Below are 21,532 nucleotides of genomic sequence, written 5' to 3'. Positions count from 1 at the left end.
ATATAATATTTATTGTTTCTTTCTCAATATTTAATGTTGTCTGTTTTCCTTGCTCTTATTTTTTTTAAAGCATAACTTCCTTTATTTCTGTGTTGTTATGTTTTTAAAAAGCAGCTTTGAGATTTACTTCACATACCATACAATTCACCCATTTAAAGTGTACAAGTCAGTGGTTTTTGGTTTATTACATTAGTTTTCAAACATATGGTAAAACACACATAATATAAAATTTATCATTTTAACCATTTTTAAGTGTATAATTCAGTGGTGTTAAGTACATTTAGGTTGTTTTGCAACTATCACCATTATTTCCAAAATAGTTTATTACCACAAACAGAAACTCTGTACCCATTAAGCAATAACTCCCCATCTCCCCTTTCCCCACAGCTCATAGTAACCTCTATTCTATTTTCTGTCTCTATGAATTTGCCTGTTCTAAGTACTTTATATAAGTGAAATCAGACATTTGTCATTTTATGCCTGACTTATTTCACTAAGCATAGTATTTTCATGGTTTACCTACATTGTAGTGTGTTTTTGTTTTTACATTTCTTTTGCAATTTAGACATGTTTGCGTTTTTGATTGAGTGACTGTCTTTATTCTAATATCCTTTGTAATGTTTAATTAGCTTGAGCAATATAGGATTAGCATTTTTGTAGGGAAAAGATGGTCAGATATTGTCAGTTTCACACAGTGCAAACTAATAGTATTTGGTTTGTCAGCATGAAGTGACATCCTTTGTCTGCCACCTATTATTTATGTGACAATCCATGAGTTTGTTCTGTTTCCCCTTTCTCTCTTTTTTTCCTCCCATTTTAAGTTCATTATTTCTATTTTGTCAGAACATATAATAGTTATCTATTATTCTTCTACTCTGGTCTCTGTTTTTCTGTTAGTCTGAGACCTACAATTATACATATTTAATGTTCTCCACCAGCCTTCTGGTAGCTTTCTTGGGAAGGGCTTGTGAGTACAATATTTCCTGGGTTCTTGCACATTTGAAACGGCTTTTCATAGCCCGAATGGTGGAAGGACAGCTCGGCCTGACAGTCCTTGCAATTTCCAATTAAGTTCATTCAGGTGCTCAAAAATGTCAAGTTAAGTACATCATTTTTTGAAGCCGAGTGAGAAGCTAAGTGAGAATCATTTACACTTTTCCACCCCCATTTCTTCTCTTAGCTCTTAAGCTCTCGACAAGTCTCATTCTTTGGACAGCCACTTTGGCATGGAACAGCCGAGCCCAGTATTCTGATGACACTTTTTTTTTTCACATAACATTGAAACAGACGGTTCTGTCACAGCTTGGATTTTATTAGAGTCAGTCATTTGATCATGTAATTTAACGTGGATGTCAGATCTGCACGCAAACTTTCTATACCAGAGGCTGTGAATAATGCCATGCATTACTGGCATCTCAGGGTTTTCTAGAACAAACTCTTGGTGGAGAGCTGTTATTCCTTCCATCATTACAGCCACATCTGTATGCAACACAGCAGGGCCTCCACCATGAGCTATGTGTCTCGAAGTATTAATTGTCCAGTTTGAATGGTTCATTCCCAGTAATTTGTTTTGGGACTACTCAAAAGAACAAACAGTGTCCTCCCCAGCCTTTTTCTTTTGGGATTCGAATTAGTGCTATTAACTGAGCCCAATTAGTAATGTATTAATATATAGATTCATCAATCTGCAATGAAAACTTCTTTTGACTTAATAAGACTTTGGATTGGTGTCATCTTTGTCATCTGACATGTTGTCAATTCGTTTACTAATAATATTATTTGAAAATGTCACCTTTTCCATTTCCTTTGCTTCATTAGTCCCAGACACAGTGTTGACAATTTCCAATCAGGCTGTTAGAATGAGCGATTCTGCAATTACGTGAGTCATTTCGGCTTTAGGTTGTAATCGCTGGACCTTGTAACCAGCTCCTTGGGCTCCATCGGATACTGGGGCAATCGATCTTAGCCAAGAACTTTGTTTCTTAATTCGTGCTTGTGGATGCTTAGAAAAGGTCACAGCTTTTTTTTCTGGGCAAAAAGCACATTGCGTGGTGAGGTGGTGCCGGCCACTTGGCGCCCTTGCCTCTCTGGATAATTCTCCCATCCAAATAAGACTTTAAGGCAGAAAAGGGATAATTGTCAGGAGCACACGAATCCCAATGTGTGATAGTTCTCATTATGTTGCCTAACTAACGACTTAGACTTTTGGGGGGAATTATTGGTTGTCTTGTGACTATAACTTTCCAGTCTTAATTAAAATATTGTCAATTACAGAGAACATAAAAATATCTGTAAAAGTACATCAATTTGGATATGAAATGCTTAAGGAGACCAGAGGCCTTTACAGCTTCTGAAGATTGATTTTAAAAAGGCTGTCTGCATTATTAAAAGTTTAAAAATAAACAAAAATAAAAAAATTGAAGCATGGACTAAATAAAATAGGATGTATTAAAGTGTTGATTTTCATTTAATTCAGGAATTAAATTGCTGAAAATGGCATGCAATGTGACTATTATCTACACACATGTATAATAATGAACCTTTTTAAAAGATAGATTTCCTGGTGCTGTAAATGCTGATAGTCCCTCATTAATGTATTGATTTGCTTAAAGTATGTTAAATTCCTATTTTAAAAAAACCTGGCTGGGCGTGGTGACTCATGCCTGTTAATCCCAGCACTTTGGGAGGTCAAGATATCGAGACCATCCTGGCCAACATGGGGAAACCCTGTCTCTACTAAAAATACAAAAATTAGCTGGGCATGGTGGCGGGGGCCTGTAATCCCAGTAACTCAGGAAGCTGAGGTGGGAGAATCGCTTGAATCTAGGAGGCGGAGGTTGCAGTGAGCCGAGATCATGTGACTGCACTCCAGCCTGGCAACAGAGTGAGACTCGGTCTCAAAACAAAAACAAAAACAAAAACAAAAAACCTAACCATTGTTTTTAAGTTTCTAAAACAAATTGATTTAAATTTCTGAAATAATAATTCATTATGAACTTTTGTTAAGAATCAGACTGGTGGCTGGGCGAGGTGGCTCACGCCTGTAATCTCAGCACTTTGGGAGGCCCAGGCGGGCAAATTACTTGAGGTCAGGAGTTCAAGACCAGCCTGGCCAACATGGCGAAACCCTTCATCTACTAAAAATATCAAAAATTAGCCAAGCATGGTGGCGCACGCTGGTAGACCCAGCTACTTGGGAGGCTGAGGTAGGAGAATCACTTGAACCCAGGAGGAGGAAGTGCAGTGAGCCAAGATCATGGCACTACATTCCAGCCTGGGCAACAGAGGAAGACTCCCTCTCAAAAAAAAAAAAAAAAAGGAATCAGAACTGGCTAATTGTAAATATCAATTAACAAAATCAATTATGCTTTATTTGGAAGCACCTAACACTAACAGTCATTACCACTAAGATAAAGAAACAAAATATAGACCTCTAAGGCGGGAATTAAAATAAGAGCTAATCAAAAAGAAAACTAAATATCTTTGCAGAATAAAGAACTTCACTAAAAAAGCTGGCAGCTAGATGAAATCTGACTGTTGGCTGATTGATGGGAAGGTCAAGGTCATGCCCCTGGGTGTAGCATCTAGGGCACTCTCTGGAGAGGGGCTACCCATACAATCTTAGGTGCCAGAATAAGAGTGACTGAATTTAGGATTCGTTACTCCCAAAGAGAAAGAGTCACTGAGAGAGGTGTCGGGGCCAGCTACAGTGGAGTGCTGGCCACCATCTTGGTTCCATTTTGCATTTGAAGCCAGCGCTGAGGTAGAGAGGTAGGAAAACAGAGCAGAGAGATGGAAGGCACCAGGGTCTTTGAGGACCACACCCAGCTACCACACACCCTGAACCCCATTCCACTTCTAGACTTCCTGTTAGATGAAATGATCCATGTTTTTATGGTTTTAGCTTGAGACAGGTTTTATGTTCCTTGTGGCCAAAGACATTTAAACTGAGGTGATCCTTGATAAATGTTTTCTCAATGGATAGATGGAAAGCTGAACGAGAAGGTTATTAAAGGATTAAAATAAAGGCTATGTACGCAGGCAGGGCTGGAACCCCCTCCCCACAAGGGGTGCCCGGTGTGGGCTGGGGTGGGTGAAGGAGCGTACGGGGCTGGCCCTCACCGCCAGGTATGTCAGAAAGTGCCCCCGTCTTCACAGCAAAGGCTGCTGAGTGAACCAAAGAGTTTTGCAAAGTTTTATTATGATTCAGAAAGGAGTGACAGTGACGGGGCGGCAGGGATGACTGATCACTCTCAGCTCAGACAGGTTTCATCTTCTGAATGTTCAATCAGAGCATGAGTGATTGGTGGGTATTAGAGGCGCTCTTTTAAAGGTCAGTGCGGCAGACAGAAGTCCTCGTGGCCCAGACATGTGCCTTAGTAACCACAGCGGAATTCATTAACTTGTCATGGCTGTCCCAGAGCCTGTCAGCTGGCCTTCCACAGACATATGTCATCCTCAACCACATCCACGCTGGCCGGGCCAAAGGAGGAAGCCACACAGGGCCAGAGTATGGGCAACTGGGGAAAGCAAGGCCCAGCACCCCATCCAGTTCCCTTCACGTTATTCTCACAGTAGCCAGCACTTATTGAGCGCTTACTGTGTGCCAGCACCCTGGCAAGTCCTGGATACTTAATGCTCACAACCTCCTTTGGAGATGTACCTGGTGAGTCCCATTCAAGGAAAAGGAGGCTCGGGCATGGCCCTGGACATACCAGGGACAGAGCTGAGGTGGAGTCCAGGCTCCCAGCTGTACCCAACACTACTCACCACCAGGGGCCCACGCTGGGCATGGGACACACCCCCACATAACACAGCTGTAAACACGTTCCCAGTAAAGGGGGACACACATTTTTGGGGGTGTGGGTGGTTTAAGCAAATCCCAGGGATTGCCTGCTTACTCCTTCTAGGGCCAGGGAAGCTGGGCTGGAGGAAGCTGTCTGGGAGCCCAGGAGGCAAGCAGAAAACCGCCAGGACCGCCCCACGCTGGGGGAGCAGCAGGCACGGCCCCTACCAACACCCCCTGGCACCTCGCAAAGCTAGAGCCCGCCCGGTCCCCTCCCCGGAGCGCCCTGGTCTTTGGTTCGTATTCAGCACATCTTCAGAAACAGTGATAGAAAAATGCTGGTTTCTGACTCCACCAGCTCACGGAGGAGATGCCAGCTCACGGAGGAAAATCTGGAAGGTGTTGAAGCATAGACGCTGGAACATAAAATGACTCATGATCTCACTGGGAGAAGGGCTGGGAACATCGTGGGCTCTCTTCTCCCCGCGCTCCTCTCTCCGGGTCTCTGTTTCCCTCATTCCACGATGTTTAGTGAGTACCTGCAGAGGGGGCTTCCCGGGATGCAGGGCTCAGGGCAGGGGTGGGGGCGAGCGTGGGCGAGGCAGAGCGGGCGAGCGCGGGCTGGGAAGGGCGCCCCTGGCGGGCGGCCCGGGCATAAAGGCTTTTGAGCTGGCCTCGCGGGCAAGGCAGGAGGACTGCCTGGGGGAGGCGGCCATACGCCCACCCTAGAGGAAAGCGGCCACCAACGCTGAGGGTCCGGCCCCCACTGACCCTCTGAGACCGAGCCGCCTCGTGTACCAGCGAGGCCACCCGCGCACCTGGCTTGGGCTCCCAGCCCCGCGCCCCTCCACGTCGGAGGCGCAACACCTGTACCCGAGCCTCGGACTCTGAGAACGTCTGGCCTTTAGATAGGCCTCGCGCTCCCAGCGCTGGGGAGTCCTGCATCCCCTAACCGGTGTCTCTCCCGGATGCAATGGAGGTGAACCCCTGGGGTCTCGCGGATCCCGAGTTCAAAGCGACCACAGACTGCTCTGCTTCCAGGACATCCCCTTGGACACCCTCCTCCCCCGCCCAGGCAACCCAAAACCAGCATGTCCCCAGACACACTCCCCTAGACACACTCCGCAACGCCCCAGACCTGCTCCCCACTGAGTCCTCTGTATCCAGGAACCATCGGCGCACTACATCAGACTAGAGGTCTGGGGTCACCCGACCATCCCGCCACAAGCCCCTCCGAGGCATCACTGTGTCCAGATTTTGCAAACTGCACCTCCTGAAGGGGCTGGGGTCTGTCCACTTCGCCCCATCTGCCGTGGCAGCACTTCCTCCGTGGTTCGCACCCCCACAGCAGCCTCCTGGGAAGGCACCTCCCTGGGGCCCCTCTCAGTCCACGGTGTGGATATGGTGAGTTCTTAAACCATGAACTTCTGATTTCACAGCTCTGCTTGAAGCCTTCAATGTCAGGCTTCCTGTTGCTCTTAAGATAATGATCAAAACTCTCAACAAAGTTCCCCTGATAAATGCTCTCAACGTGCCCCCCACCACAGCATCCCTAACTGTAATGAATACATCATTGGTCCTCACGGCAGCGGATTAATCGTCTGTGAGTGTTGGTTTAATCTTTCTCTTCTGGAGTTTAGCTGTCACTGCCATATCCCCAGCACGGAGCACAATGACATGTTTATATGTAGAAAATTGAGCGAAAAATAAAAACAGCTAACATTTGGGTACTTATTATCTTCCAGGCAGCAAGCTATGCATTTTGCATATATTAGCAAATCCATGAGGCAGGTGCTGTCTTCATTGTACAGGTGAGGAGCCTGAAGCTCAGAGAGGTGAAGGAACATCCTCAAGGCCACGCTCTGAAATCAACAAAAGATACATCAGTTTATTGTGGGAAACATCAGAACATGCAGAGATATTAACAAAGAGAAGTCACTCAGAGATGACTGTCATTAACATTTTGGTGTATTTCTTCGTAGACATTTTCCTATGTCTCTGCATAGTAACATACTGTCCAGAGTGCTTGTAATCTGCTAGACGGTTTGATGAGACCAAGTTTTCATGGTATTAGCCACGGCAATATTTGTATTCATATTTTAGGGTATGGCTGAACTGAAATTTGCTTTTGCTCAACTCAGCCCCTCTTGTGAACATTAGGCACTTTGCACTTCACCTGCTGAAAACGTGGTAGTCATAAACACGCTGGTAGCTCAATCGTCCCACCTATCTTTACTATGTTATTCATTCCTAGCAGTGGGGCCTGGGTCAAAAGTTCTGCAGGGTTTTAAGGCTTTGGATCAGTGGTTCGGGATTGTCCTCTGGGACGGGCTGAGAAGCACACATGCCTGCCGGTGGTGACAAGCATTCCTTCCTAGTGCAGAGTCAGGTCTGCACCTGGCACCCCCTACCCATCCAGGTTGGGTCCCTGGCATTCAGTTATGTGGAACAGACCAGAAAAATTAAAAAAGAACCCCCTCCCGCATCTTCCCCGAAGGACCACTGGCCTGCTGTCTCTCCCCGCACTCCCCCACTGGAGTTCATACCCACTGAATCACGACCCCCTTGTGGCTAAGCCCTGGTGCGCCACCCTGCAAAATCAAAGGTGGTGTCTAGGCACAGAAATGGCTCCGTGACCTATGTCCCCTTTGTTCTAATCTAGAATCCAGCCAGGAGTATGCGTGTCAGAAGCCAGGGGTGATTGTGTTTTTTCTCCTTCCTCTTTCTTTAGGTCAGGAAGATTCCTGCAGCTGCTGAGTTAGTACTTTTAAGAAAGTACTGGATTCCCTCTCACAATGGGACTTTGATTTTTTTAAGAAAAAGGTTTCATAAGTTTTCAAATAACCTGGAGCAGTTGAGCAAACTTAATGTGCAGCGTGGTCCCTGCTGGCTGGGTTTGAGGGGCTGGGTCTCTCTGAGTGGATGCTGGTGAGGTGCAGAGGTGAGTGAAGGCTTATCCGGGAATGGAGGAGAAGGGGACAGCCTGGGGAATAAAAAAGAACTTTCCGTGAGACGCTGTACCTCAATGCTAGATAATGCCAGGCTGGGCTTTTGCTAGTCTTAAAAACTACATCACGCATGTTATAGGCAAAGGCCGGCAGCCCCTCCCAGGGAAAGCCCTTTGTTTGAGTCCATAGAGACCCCCTATTGCAAGGGCCCCTTTCGTGATTTTTGAGGGGTCTGCAGGAAAAGAGGGCAGAGGTCGTAGTTTGGGGATCGCTGGTGACCATGCACCAACTTTTTTGTTGTTTCCATCTCAGGAAGAAGAAAAGGTGCCTGAGGGCCTGTGTGGAAGGCCTGTCACACAGCACATCCTGGGAAATCTGTCCAGGAAGCAGCCAGGCGGGCATCAGCCAGGCGGGCATCAGCATCTTCACTGTGCAGATGAGAAACTGAGGCCGCAGAGGTGAAGGGACATGCCCAGGATCACTAAGGCAAGACGGGGGAAGAGCAGAGATCTTGGGCATGATCTCGGCTCACTGCAACCTCCACCTCCCAGGTTCAAGGGATTCTCCTGCTTCAGCCTCCCAAGGAGCTGGGATTACAGGTGCCCGCCACCACGCCCGGCTAATTTTTGTATGTTTAGTAGAGACAGGGTTTCACCATGTTGGCCAGGCTGGTCTCGAATTCCTGATCTCAAGTGATCCGCCTTGCTCTGTCCCTTAGGGACCTCAGCTTAGTGTTCCACACACTGGCAGATCGCCTCGTTCTTCTCAGGGCTCAGTGTTTTCCTGAGTCTGAACCACGATCTGGGTAGCCATCCCCTGGCGAGGACCATTCGGGGTTCCAGCAGTCACATGCCACGGTAAACAAGCTTCGTAAACATCCCACGACAAAGGTGGGAGAGAATCCCAGTAGGGACAATGACTACAGGTGGAATTGCTGGGAAAAAGTATGTCGGTTTTAAGTGTTGATAACTGGTCCTTTATTGGTCGTGGTCATTCATTCTTCTGCCAGGCGGGGCTGGTGTTCCTATATCCTCTCCTCACCAACAGAGCGTCTTATGTTTATTTGTTGGCAACGTGGCAGGTGAAACATGTACCCTGTCATTAAAAAAAATTATACTTGGCTGGGCACGGTGGCTCACACCTGTAATCCCAGAGCTTGGGAAGCTGAGGTGGGTGGATTGCTTGAGGCCCGGAGCTCGAGGCTAGCTTGGGCAGCACAACGAGACCCTGTTTCTACAAAAAATACAAAAATTAGTGGGGTGTAGTAGTGCACGCCTGTAGTCCCAGCTACTGGGGAGGCTGAGGTGGGAGGATCACTTGAGCCTGTCTCAGAACAAACAAACAAACAAACAAAAATAAGAAAAAAATACATAGTTTTAAAACAGTTTTAAACACATTTGGGAAAATATAGGCAGTAGAAATAGCAGTTGTGCTGTTAATGCCTCAGACAGGGCTGGGCTCGTAGTAGGTGCTCAATAAATATGTATTAAGTAAGTGAATAAGGAAGAAAATCCCATGGCTCTGCCAACAAGAAACACTTCTGTCAACATTTCACTGTGTTTGTTTTCCTGAGTATTTTTTCCTCTACATAATTTAGCTTTGTTTTCCATTCATTATGCTCACCCGTGCAGACACAGTTTTTAATCTTGTTTCTTTTTTTTCACTTCACGTTGTTGACATGTGTGTTTCTCTCTTCTAAGCAGCGTTTCAGCATCTCTATAAAACCCTCACAGGTATGTGAACCATAGATCATTTGAATCGTCTATTGTGCTTTTAGGCTGTTTTCAATTTTTCTTTTTATAAATGATGCAGCAGAGTATCTTTATGCAGAGACCGTTTCCATACTTCCCCCTGTGCAGAAGGAAAAGTAGGCAGAAGAAAGATTAACTTGGTCAAAGCTTTTAAAATCTGATTTAATACTTCTTAAGAATGATGCACCTTATGAAACAACTTTATATCTGTTGAAAAACCTAGTTCTTTTTTTAATATTGTTTTAAAAAATGACTTGTTCTGAACAATATCCTGTGCCTTTCAGAAGACAGCGACGGATATGAAAGGAGATTTGTTCTCTCCAAGCTCTTAGGAGGCGATCTGGCTCAGGAAACAGACACATCAGATCCGAGCATGTATCTGATGGTTGCTATGGGAACAAGTCATTTAACAGCCACTCAGCTAAAGCATTGATCAATAAGGAAGGGGGCAGGAGGGAAATAAATTAGTTGGTGTCTGAATAGCCCTGAGAGAGAGCAATAATGCGTCCCCTTCCCATGGCAGGGGCCCGGGCAGGAGGCAGGGGCGAAGTCTCGTCCATCCACGCTGGGATGTGTGGGGTAGGAGGGCAGAGGGGGCAGAGAACAGAATCATATTGGGGTGAGAAACCTGCTCCCCAAACCAGATATGGGGCAAGTGAGGCCTTAGACAAGGCTGGGGGCAGGGCTCCCAGGGATGGGGGCACGGCTGGTCCCGCTTCTCCACGCTCCTGTGATGTGCTTGCCGGGCCTGCTGGGATACCCTGTGGCACCCCATCGCTCTAGTGGGGAGTTCCGGTCTAGAGAGGAGCCGTGACTCCTTCCAGGCACATGGTCAACCCCACTTGTCTTCTGGGGGCTCCCAGCCTGGCAGGGGAGAAAGGCAAAGGCCCTCACGGGGTCGTTCATTGATTCATCCACAAATACTTCCTGAGCCTGTCTGAGGGACCATGCTCAGGCCTGGGCAGACAGCAGAGACCCAAGGAAAGAACAGAACTTGGGCTCTGGGGCCAAATCGTGGCTCGGCCACTTGGCAGGCTCTTCACCTGTAACGTGTTGAGAAAGTGACGTAAAGTCAGAGCCAGGAGTGGGCATCCTGAGTGCTCAGCTGCCATTGCTGGGACTCATAATCGCAAGGGAAGGCAGAGACAGAAGTGAGGGTTCCTAAGTGGAAGGTACTCATAAAGCCTTGGCTGAATACGTATGGCTGACACAGGGGTGTCTGTGTTTGCCACCAAAGGGTGGCCCTGGGCTGGGATTACACACGGAGAGAAGGCGGGAGGAAAGTCAGGGAGCCTCAGACCATTGGAGGCTGCATCTATTGACCTCTGATCCCCACAGGCATGGGTGTGGGTGTGGGTGTGGGTGTGGCTGGCTCAAGGGTCAGTGCCCACCAGAGAACTGGACCATAGATGAGCTGGACTTTTCCAACCCTGCCAGCCTGGGCCATCTCAAGGGTGCTATTGGTTGTGAGGGGAGGAGGCCCTCTTTTCTGAGTCCCTCCCCAGATGAGTGCAAGCTGGGACACATATACGAGAAGGATCCTAATAACATGCATGCCAAAATCCTGCTGTCCCAGCCTTTGGTTCCAGCAGTTTGACTTCTGGAAGTCTTTCCCAAGGAAATAACCTTGAACCCACGGTGTCTGCTGTAGCATTCTTCATAAGAGTGACTGCAAACAACCTCTAAGCCCCAAATCATGTATTGGTTAAAAAAATAATGATTCCTTTTCTTGCTTTAACTCAGGTGATCCCTAGAAACACAGCCAGTGGCCCGGAAGCTGCACTGTTTTGTGCACCGCAGGGATGGGCACAGATGGGGCTGCCTGCCCTCCTCCTGGAAGGAGGGAGAACCCAGTCTGGCCTGGAGTGGTCAAGAGCTAACTCTAGACTCAGCAAGACCTACTTCTCTCTCCTGCCCCTACTTCCTTGCTGCTGACCTGGGCAAGTCGCTGAAGCCTCTCCGTGCCTCAGTCTGCTCGTGCGTAAGATGGGCACAGGGCACACTGCCTACTTGATTGGGCTCAACCACGTGCAGTAAGTAGCTGGTGTCTGGCAAGAGCCCTCAGGAAACAGTAACCCCATTAATTCAAATGCACGTGCCTGGAACAGGCTCTGGGGGGCCAGCCCGGGAGTCCCACTCCATGATGGCCACCCTGGGGCCTGGCAGGCTGGGCTGGCATCCCAGGCCCACCGGATACTGGCTGTGCACCCCGGCCAGGCCACACATCTCTGAGCCTCACTTTCCCGTGTGTGAGATGAGGCTAGAAGCTGCTTTCTCTTGCGTGTGTGGGGATTGGCGGTGACAACACGGCCAGGAGCCCAGGCCCAGCCTACGCGAGCAGCCTCGCTCCAGGCCACACGCCCCACTCCTGACAGCTCTGTGCAGCGAGTTCGTGCGCGAGCGGGTGGCTGTCTGCCAGGCGAGGGGCGCGGGTGCCCAAGAGGGCTTCACTGCTTCTGGAAAGATCACAAGGAAAAACCACCTCCGCGGCGGGACGCTACCCGCGGGCCGCTGCGGTCCCGCTCGCGGCCGGCAGGGGGCAGGATGTCCCCGCGAGTCGCCCGTGTCTTCGGGTGTCCTCAGGTCACCCCGCACCGCTCGCAGCCTCCGCGCCTAGTTAAAGGGCGACGCACTCATTTCTGCAAAGAAGGAGCCCAGCGGCCCCTCCCCGGGGAACTCTTTCCATCAACTCGGGGCCTAATAATTTACATTTAATTTGTTAGCGGTTTAATGTTTAATTTTAAAAGCGAGATGATTCATTACCATATTAATAAATAATAACATTTATTATTCTCCTAATGAGTGTCCAAAATACAGAAGCAATTACATGTTTTATATATTTTCTCGTAATTTGAGACACCAGAGCGTTAATTACAGAGACTCACGCGTGGACCCCATTCTGATCCAGGGTCCTGATCCTGCCTTTGTTTCGGTCTCTGAACCAGCCGCCCTCCGGGGCTTCTGCAATTCCCTCAATTAGAGGAGAGGAAGTCGTACGTGACGAAGCTGGGGCTCTCACAGAACCCCGGCGCCCCAGACCCAGGAGCTGCAAGACCTCAGCTCCCCGTGCCCACACTCGGAGACCCAGGCCCCTCCCAGTCCCCCGTCTCCTCTGTGCAGGGTTCTTCAGGAAGAATCGGAAAGAGGCCCCCCGACCCACAACCAGCCTCGCATTCCCTCCTCCCGCAGGGATCCATTGAGCTGGGGGGTGGGACTATCCTCACTTCACAGATGGGGAAACTGAGTCCTGGAGAGAGACGCTCCGGTGTCCTCAGCTGGTGAGGGGCAGATCCGGGAGCCACGTCCCACGCAGTCGGTTGGCCCCAAGCTTGGTTCCTGCCTCAACCCCAGCGCAGGTTGCAGCAGGCCCGCGTAGGAGGGCGGCCTGGGTCTGGACAGATCCACAGCCGGCCAACGCCCCTGGCTAGCTCTCTATGGCTTTGCTTCTTCTCTTGACTTGCCAAGTTCTTCTTGTTCATTGTAGAAAATGTGGAAGGTGAGGCCGGGAGCGGTGGCTCACGCCTGTAATCCTAGCACTTTGGGAGGCCGAGGCGGGCAGATTGCCTGAGCTCAGGAGTTCGAGACCAGCCTGGGCAACATGGTGAAACACGTCTCTACTAAAAAAAAAAAAAAAAAAAAAAAAAAAATTTGCTGGGCGTGACGGCAGGCGCCTGTAGTCCCAGTGGGAGTTTGGGGAGGCTGAGGCAGGAGAATCACTTGAACCCGGGAAGCAGAGATTGCAGTGAGCCGAGATCGTGCCACTGCACTCCAATCTAGCGACAGAGCAAGACTCCGTCTCAAAAAAAAAAAAAAAAAAAAAAGTGGAAGGTGAAAAAAACACGGAGAGACAGCAAAGCTGGCAATGACATAGCTCCAAAAATCCCACTTCTCAGATAAGATGCAGGCAGTAAGGGCCTGGAGTTTTATGTATCCTGATGTTTGAAAGGGCTTGGACAGGGCACTTCCTCCCTCCATAGCTCTTCTGTCCTTAGGAATCCCTCCCTTCTGGAGGGGAAGGGTGGGGGTTTTCCTGTTTGGTCCCCAGGGAAGGAAGTTCAGAGACAGAGGCCCACTCAGGGCCACCCCCTGGCCTGCACCCCTGAAATGCAATTTGGATAATATGGAAAATTACTAGGAAGAAAAAACGCTATAATCCCCCCACCTAGAGATAACCAGGCGTTCTGGTATATACCTATTGAGGACTTTTTTCCCAAGCAAATACTCAGAAAGAGACTTCCTCCCAATAGGCATGAGATCTTACTCCACGTGCAGTTTGTCTTATCTTGATTTTTTTCCAGTAATCTTTTAAGAGTTTCCCATGCCATGTAGTCATTCTTCAAAAACCCACTTTGAACAGCTGCGTAATATTCCGCTGTGGAGGAGTGCCCTGCAGTGTAGAGAAATGAGTTATTTACGCTGAAGTCTGTTATTACATGGACATCTTCCCTTTTCTGACCCTGCAATGACCACACTCATAGGTGAGTCTCTCTGGAAATCCTTGACTACCTCCTTAGGGTCCATTCTTAGAAGTGGAATTACTGGGTTAGAGGGCATGAGTGCCTTGAGGGCGGCTGTCTCCCTCTACCTGCATGCCTGCCAGGGCAAACCCGTGCATGCTCCCAGGACAGGCCTGGCAGGGCGTGTCTCCCTGCTGCACCCTTGGTACCCTTGGCAGGGCTAACATTATCCTCTAAACCAGGTCTTTGCAGCACTTACCCTTTTCAAGGTGCTACTGTACCTCTCCTTTAAGGAGGGTTCATCCCGGGAATCGTGAAACACAGGCAGGCTGGTCCTCTTCTCACAACTTCATGATGGATAGACTGAGGCCCACTGAGGCCAAATGCACTTGACTCAGAAGGTTTTAGAATCTTTTTTGGATCCCATTTGGATCCCACACCATTGAAGCCTCCTTGTGTTTCAGATTATGGGGAAAGGCTCAATGATATGTCCCAGGAGAGTGCTGTCTCTGAAGTCTACCCAGCCACAACCCATCCACAAACTCATCCACAAACCTATTCATTCTGGAACTCATCCACTTACCCTCCACCCATCCATTCATCTCAGGACTCATCCACCTATCCATCCACCCATCCATTCACACTGGAACTCATCTATCCATCCATCCATCCATCCATTCACCCACCCACTTAACCATACATCCACCTATCCATCTGTCGATCCATGCATCCATCCATCTATCCATCCATCCATCCATCCATCCATCCATCCATCCATCCATCCATCCACCCACCTACTTAACCATCCATCCACCTATCCATCTGTCAGTCCATGCATCCATGCATCCATCCATCCATCCATCCATCCATCCATCCATCCAATCATCCATCCATCCACCTACCTACTCATCCACTAAAAAATATTGGTTGAGAACCAACTCTGACTCAGGCCCAGGTGCAGGAAATTTTGCATGAACAGCTCTGGCTTTTACAGGCAAGGTAGACCTTAAAGAGCAAGCACAGTTGCAGTGACTCATCTGCAAGGTGAAGGTTAGGTATTATGGGAGCACAGGACAGGGAGCTCAGACCTTCCTGAGAAGGGTGGACCAGGCCCCACTGGCACTCTTTGTGTGACCTTGGTGGAGTCCCTGCCTTTCTCCTGCCCTGCTCCCTATGCTGAGCCACAGAGGAAAAGCCATAACTTACATATTGGCTAGAAAGCATAGTTGGCCAGGGGGAAGTTGGCCACTTTCTGGGAAGCAGAAAGTGGGCAGGGAGGCCCAGCCCCTGTGCTGACATCTGTGTGGCAGTTATTCTCAGGGGTCTTGAGAGAATTAGAACAAACACAGAGGTCAGTGCCAGGCACCACTGTCACGGGGCCATGAACTCTTCATTGTTATTGCTTATTATTATTATTAGTAGTAGTAGTACTAACACTTTCTGAGGTTTTTTTCATCGGCCAGGCATCATGCTGAGAACTTTCAGATATTGGTTCATTTAATCCTCCCTTAGCCCTGTCAGGTAGGCAGAAATTGTTACTCTCACTTTACAGATGAGAGCATTGAGGCACAGAGTAGTTATGTAACTTGCTCAGGGTCACAGCCAGTAGGTGTGCGCAGCCTGTGCCTTGTGGCTTTGCTGCATGCCCTGCCCTTCTTGTTCTTGTTACTGCAGGCACCTACAGTGGGGCATTTAGGGAGCCTGACTTGCCCAGGGACCCACTGAAGAATCCAGGCCCCATCCCTAGAGTAGCATGCACAGGAATCTCCCTGCCCTGCCCCGGCCTCTGCAGTGTGAGGTCAGGCGTCTCCTTCCTCCACAGGCCCTGGACTAGCACGCACGGGAGCCTCCCTCCAGGCCCCATCCCTGGAGTAGCATGCGTGGGAGTCTCTCTGCCCTGCCCTGGCCTCTGCAGTGTGCAGTCAGGCCTCCCCTTCCTCCACAGGACCCCATAAAGGGAGGAGGGGAAGCACGTGTGACCCTGCACACTTCTCCCACCCTCTCTGAGCCTTTGTTCCTGAGGGGCCTCGGGGGAAACCATGGATGTGAAAGAATGCTGCGGAATGCAGCGCAGGAGTGAGGCTGCAATGGTCACTCGCTCACTCAGTGGGTGCACATGCTCTGCCCTGCTCACAGCAGGCCCCTTCTCGGCACTGGGGTTCCAGTTGTGAACAAGAAGGTCAGAATCCTGATCTCAGGGCGCTGACAATCTAGAGAGGGAGGCAGACAGTGAGCAGTGCGATCATGACCGAATGCAGGGTGAAGGTGCAGTGCTGCGGAGAAAATCTGGGTGACGGGATGGAGACTAACGGGAAGGGGGGTCCCACAGGAGCCAGGCTGGAGAGGAGATATTTAAATGGAATGAATACAGGGACCATACAATGTGCCTGGGGATGGGAGGGGGAAGAGAGAGAAGAGAGGACATTCCAGGAACAGCAAGCGCACAGGCCCTGAGGCAGGAGTTGCCTGGTGAGTTTGAGGAGTGCTCAGGCCAGCGGAGGGGAAAGTGGACAGTGGGAGATGAGGCCAGGGCAGGGTTGGGGCCAGGCCAGGTGTGGCAGTGGGTGAGGACTGAGAGTGAGCTGGACCTTCCTGGTGGGTTTGGAGCAGAGCAGGGTGGTGATTCAGTGCAGGATTTCGGGGTGCTTCTGGCTGCATGAGAACCAGGATGTGGGGTGAGGGCTGGGGCTGCCTGCCGAGAGGCCCCTACTGTGATCCACAGGAGAGCAGGGTGGTGGCTCAGACCAGAGCTGTGGCTATGGAGGGGACCGGCTGGATTTGGGATAAACCTGGATAGGAGGAGACAGCAGAGCTGCATGGTGGGCCAGGTGCTGGGGTGACAGACAGGAGCTAAGGTGACTCCAGGGTCTGGGTCTGAGCCCTGGAGGGAGGGAGGTGCCTAAGCCCTGGAGGGAGGGAGGTGCTGAGATGGGGAGGATGGTGGTGGAGCAGGCTGGGGAGATGAGGAGCTTGAGGGGCCAGGTTAGGAGCTAACCACCCATTCACTGTTTATGGGTGGGGTGGCTGCCGGGCAGGTGGCCATGTGAATCTGGAGCTGGGAGAAGACACTGACCTAGAGACGGAAAGCAGAAGCTTTTCCCAGAGCTGGGAACACAGGAAGCTGCTCACCCCACTGTCGTTGCTCTGAGAGCCAGGAGTGACCCCTGGACTCCAGACAAGCGCCTCTCAGGCCTGCACTGGCCCTTGCATTTTCCCTCACACCTTCTCCCCTGCCTCCTGAGCTATTTCCCTCTTAGATCCAGAACCGTCTTCCTAACCCACCCATCTGACCAGGTTCCTCCCTGCCTAGCACCATCCATGGCTCCCTGTGGCCCTGGTAGGCGGACTAGACCCCAGGGCTCTGCCCTCCCGTAGCTCCTGCTCTCACCTCTCCTAGTCTCCCACCCAGGCTCTCGCCACACCAAAGTGTCCGGCCCCCAAAACACCCAGCTGCTTCCTGCCTCCACACTGTTGTTCCCCTTGTCCTGAAACCTCCCCCACTCCCCGCACCTGGCCCTGAGTATACCATCTGTGGGACTAAACCTCAGTTTCCCCATCTGTAAAATGGGAGTAATCCTTTCTGTACCTGCCTCACGGGGTGCTGGAGGTATAAACGAGTGCCTGCCACTAGTACCCAAGAAATGGTAACTTACAAGGAAACAGAGCTCCGTGCCACTTCTTCCTGGAAGCCTTCCCAGGCTGCCTGAAGCCCTCCCTGAAAGCCCAGCATTCTTCACACTTCCTGTCATTGTCTCGTTGATTTTTGCCCCAGCAGCAAGCTGAGGACTGTGGCAGGGTCCTCTCCTCCCTGGGCTGCCCCGGCTCTGGCATGTAGCAGGTGGGAGAGAGAGTAATACCAACACCTGAGCGGGTGCCGGGTGCTTCGGTGGAGACAGGTGGTCCCGCTGCTCCCCAGATTCTCTTGAGCCCTGCCGGGCAGGGGTCTCGTCTCTCCTCAGCCCGTGAGGATGCTGGGGTCCAGAATGGGTAGGGAATGGGCCCAGTGTCACACAGCCTGGGCCTCTGACTCCAGGTTGGGCGCTCATTGTTGGGCCTCTTAGTCTGGGCAGTCAGCTCAGACATGCCTCAGGTGACGGTGGGATGGGGCTTGGGGCCGGGCCTTGAGAGGGCAAGACGTCTAGTGCTCTACCTTCCTGCTGGGAGTGACAAGGAACTTCCTGGAGAAGGCCATGGCAGAACCAGGCCTGGAGGAAGCAGGTCGAGCAGCACAGGGGGAAGGGCATTCTAGGGAAGGGGCTCTGCAGGAGAGAGCCTGTCCAGCCAATGCAGAGAACGGTGGGCTCCCCCTGGTTGGCTCTGGGAGACTGTGGGTCTCCTCCTGGTTGGCTTTGGGGTTGTTGCTCCAAACGTTGTGGTTTCTCTCTCTCTCTCTCTTTTTATTTTTTGAGACAGGATCTCTCTCTCTGTTGCCCAGGCTGGACTACAGTGGCATGATCTCAGTTTACTGCAAACTCTGCCCTCTGGGCTTAAGCAGTCCTCCTGCCTCAGCCTCCTAAGTATCTGATACCACAGGCATGCACCATCACACCCTGCTAATTTTTGTATTTTTGGTAGAGATGGGGTTTTGCCATGTTGCCCAGGCTGGTCTCGAACTCCTGAGCTCAAGCAATCGGCCCACCTCAGCCTCCTCAAGTGCTGGATTACAGGCGTGAGCCACTGCACCCGTCTGTGGCTTTTTTGTTGACATGACCACAAATGCAAGTTGTACCCAGAGGATGTGGGAAAATGGAAACTAATTTGTTTTCTGGTCATGTTAAATTTACCTTTAGGAAGTAGCAGGAAGGTAAACATCTCTTCTCCCTGTGTTCTCTCTTGGGGCTGATGGAGCCCTGCCTTCCCACACTGCACGGCCAGTGGGTGACCGAGAAGAGTCATTTTATTCATGCAGTGAACATCCGACCCTGGTACATTCAGCCTGAGACTGAAGGTACATTCTGCCTCCAACTGAAGGCAGGGAAGACATGGATGGAGGGGCCCCTTGGCACTGGGGACAGTGGCCTCTGAGCACCCTGGAGGACAGCTGACCTGGCATGCAGCAGTGGAGAGTGTGGCTGCCAGCAGCGGAGCTACCCGGTTAGCGCCAGTCACCATCATGCCTCTTGGGTGCCACGGACTGGAAGCAGCACCCTGGCCAGAACAGAGAGAGGTCAGCACCCGGGAATCAGCACTCAGGCTCACGCTGTGGCTCAAGTCCAAGTGTTGGTGGTGGACTCAGAGACTTGAGCTTGTCTTGTGTTTGACATGGGTGAGTGCCACCCCACGTGTGCGGTTCTGATGGCCCAGCCTCATGTGACCTCACGAAAGAAGCGTGGATCCTCCAGCCGAGTGGCCGGCCTGCCAGGCCTCCCTCCCAGACCTAGTTCATTCCCAGGGTACCTCTGGACACCTGGTTTACCCCATGTGGGGTGGTGGTTGGGTAGAGTTAGAGAGCGCCCCAAATGGGGAGAAGGGGGAACTAGGGTCCCCACAGTCCAGGTCAGGGCTTGTCCCAGACACCACAGGGGTCTCAGACAATTTGAGGAGGGCACATCAAAGCTGGAGCTCCCCGAGACGTGGGGCCTGGGGCAGGGCCCCTGCTGGGTAGAGTCTGAGGGGCCTCAGAGAGGGTAAGAGATTTGCCAGACATGCGGCCTGCAAGTGGGGCTCTGGTTTGCAGGCCCAGGGCTGTCAGAGACAGTGGGGAAATGTTCCCAAGCCCCAGCGGGGAATCTCAGCAGCAGAGACAGATGACGGGACAGTTATTTGTGGAGGGTGTACGAGGTGACGCTGGGAACATTTCCAGCCGTCTCCCAAGGCACCCCAGTCCTGACTGGTGACTTTCACTCTTTGCTTCTGGGCTCTCTGTCTCAGAGCCCAGCTGGGGACTGGCTTGTCTGAGAAGATAATTCCCACTCCAGTGTTAACAGCTTGACGGGGACCCTCAGCCTTTGCCTGAAGAAATGGGACAGGATGGAAACCCATGTGTCTGACTTGGGGCCTGGCCCAGGCTGGTCCCCACCCCCACTCCCACCTGGGACCCCAACTCCAGGTCTCCCATCCACATCCTGCCTGAGGGCCCGGAGCTCCCTGGCATCTCCTGCCTGTAGGCCCTGGCTCCTTCCTTTGAGGTGTTTTGGGGCCTGGGACCTGCACAGAAATGGAGACAGCACAGCCACAGTGACCCGCGTCTCGGGGCAGGTGACCCATGCCAAGGGCAGCTCATCCCAGGCCCGACTCTGAGCCTCCACGTTCCCTGGCTCTGGGGTCCAGCTCATCCCAGGCCTGACTCTGAGCCTCCACATTCCCTGACTCTGGGGTCTTTTGATGCCAGCACTGCAGACGGTCTCATGCTGGCTCAGAGGGCAGCAGGAGTGTCTAAGCCAGGTGGCTGGAACATCTGGAGGAAGCGTGCTGTGGCCAGAGGAGACTGGGGAAGGAGCCTGGGAGGAGGGCTGAGGCGGGGCAGCCAGGGGCCCTGGACCTGAAGCCTTTGGGTGTGGCCTGTGACCTGTGCCTGACCCTGACTCTCGCCTCCCCTGGAAGCTGTGTCTTTGCCTCTGAATCCAGGCCTGCCACCCCCATTTCCAGCTTCTTGAAGGTATGTCCTAGCCCCAAAAGGGTCTCAGCATCTGCCTCTGATTTTTGAGGATCCAAGTTGAGAGGAAGCCTCCAAAGATGCTTGAGCACACCTGGGAACAGGTGTGTGTGTGTGGGGGTGGGGGAAGTGGGATGGGGGTGTTGGGGTGTAGGACTGCTGGGCTACGTGGTCAAATTAACAGCTCTCCCTGGCTGAGCCTGTCCTGTGTGCCACCCCCGCCCACCCTTGACTCCAGTGGTCCCAGTCACTGACTGTCTAGCCCGTCCCACTATTGAGAACAAGCACAGATCCACTGGCCAAGGGGCTCTGTGTCCTCCTCCAGCCCTGGACAGGCCTCAGGCCAGGCCTGTCTGCCCTCTCTACCCACCAGCAAGTGTGACACTCGGGGTCTCTGGGCAGGTGGCCCCATTGCTGCCGTGCACAGGATGAAGCAGGGGCAGCAGCTCACCGCCCTGGGCTCTGTCTTCTTCTTCCCACGGTCCCCTGATTTGCCTCCCGAGTGAGGGAACCTGGCACTCTGGGGCTCCCTCCTTCCCATTGTGGTCCAGGTGTCCTAGCCCCATTGGTTTATTCCACCCCAGAGTTTTCTGCCTGGACCACGCTCCAGCATCCTGGCACATTCAGCCTCTGGCCTCACCCTTCTTGACTGCAGGGAGACACAGTTTTACTGCATCTTCTTCAATTTTCGTGCCTTTTATCCTGTTTTTCTTTCCTGATTGCAATGCCAGGGTCTCCAGTATAATGTTGAATAGAAGTGGTGAGAATGTCTATCTTAGGAGGACAGTGTCAATATTTCAGCATTTAGTATGATGTTAGCATAGCATTTTCTCAGATGTCCTTTGTTGGGTAAGGAAGATTCTCTTTATTCTTAGTTTTCTGAGAGTGCTATCAGGGTTGGGTGTTGAATTGATCATATGTTTTTTACTTTCTCCTTTCTTTTTATATGGTAAATTATATTGATTTTCAAATCTTAAAACACTTTATACTGCTGA

General features: G+C 51.1%; 1 long non-coding RNA gene across 1 annotated transcript in view, besides 5 other annotated features; it reads left to right on the top strand.

The window, feature by feature from the left end:
* The window catches only part of LINC02320 (long intergenic non-protein coding RNA 2320), a 102,958-nt gene extending 90,674 nt beyond the window's left edge, over positions 1-12,284 (top strand). The window contains exons 2-6 of the long non-coding RNA NR_184269.1: positions 5,145-5,317; positions 5,954-6,190; positions 7,518-7,727; positions 8,047-8,220; positions 11,229-12,284. This is a non-coding gene — a long non-coding RNA (long intergenic non-protein coding RNA 2320). The remainder of the gene's footprint in view (positions 1-5,144; positions 5,318-5,953; positions 6,191-7,517; positions 7,728-8,046; positions 8,221-11,228) is intronic.
* Positions 16,284-16,795: an enhancer, noted in NCBI's record as "H3K4me1 hESC enhancer chr14:102090175-102090686 (GRCh37/hg19 assembly coordinates)". NCBI's record gives its function as "activates a minimal SCP1, AML or CMV promoter by ChIP-STARR-seq in primed H9 embryonic stem cells {active_cell/tissue: H9 hESC(primed)}" and the evidence as "EXISTENCE:reporter gene assay evidence [ECO:0000049][PMID:30033119]".
* Positions 16,796-17,309: an enhancer, noted in NCBI's record as "H3K4me1 hESC enhancer chr14:102089661-102090174 (GRCh37/hg19 assembly coordinates)". NCBI's record gives its function as "activates a minimal SCP1, AML or CMV promoter by ChIP-STARR-seq in primed H9 embryonic stem cells {active_cell/tissue: H9 hESC(primed)}" and the evidence as "EXISTENCE:reporter gene assay evidence [ECO:0000049][PMID:30033119]".
* Positions 17,373-17,929: an enhancer, noted in NCBI's record as "H3K4me1 hESC enhancer chr14:102089041-102089597 (GRCh37/hg19 assembly coordinates)". NCBI's record gives its function as "activates a minimal SCP1, AML or CMV promoter by ChIP-STARR-seq in naive and primed H9 embryonic stem cells {active_cell/tissue: H9 hESC(naive and primed)}" and the evidence as "EXISTENCE:reporter gene assay evidence [ECO:0000049][PMID:30033119]".
* Positions 17,930-18,486: an enhancer, noted in NCBI's record as "H3K4me1 hESC enhancer chr14:102088484-102089040 (GRCh37/hg19 assembly coordinates)". NCBI's record gives its function as "activates a minimal SCP1, AML or CMV promoter by ChIP-STARR-seq in naive H9 embryonic stem cells {active_cell/tissue: H9 hESC(naive)}" and the evidence as "EXISTENCE:reporter gene assay evidence [ECO:0000049][PMID:30033119]".
* Positions 19,688-20,495: an enhancer, noted in NCBI's record as "H3K4me1 hESC enhancer chr14:102086475-102087282 (GRCh37/hg19 assembly coordinates)". NCBI's record gives its function as "activates a minimal SCP1, AML or CMV promoter by ChIP-STARR-seq in naive H9 embryonic stem cells {active_cell/tissue: H9 hESC(naive)}" and the evidence as "EXISTENCE:reporter gene assay evidence [ECO:0000049][PMID:30033119]".

This window comes from Homo sapiens, chromosome 14 (assembly GCF_000001405.40).
Source record: "Homo sapiens chromosome 14, GRCh38.p14 Primary Assembly".
NCBI classification, from domain to species: Eukaryota; Metazoa; Chordata; class Mammalia; order Primates; family Hominidae; genus Homo; species Homo sapiens.
This window is presented reverse-complemented; position numbering and strand designations above follow the sequence as displayed.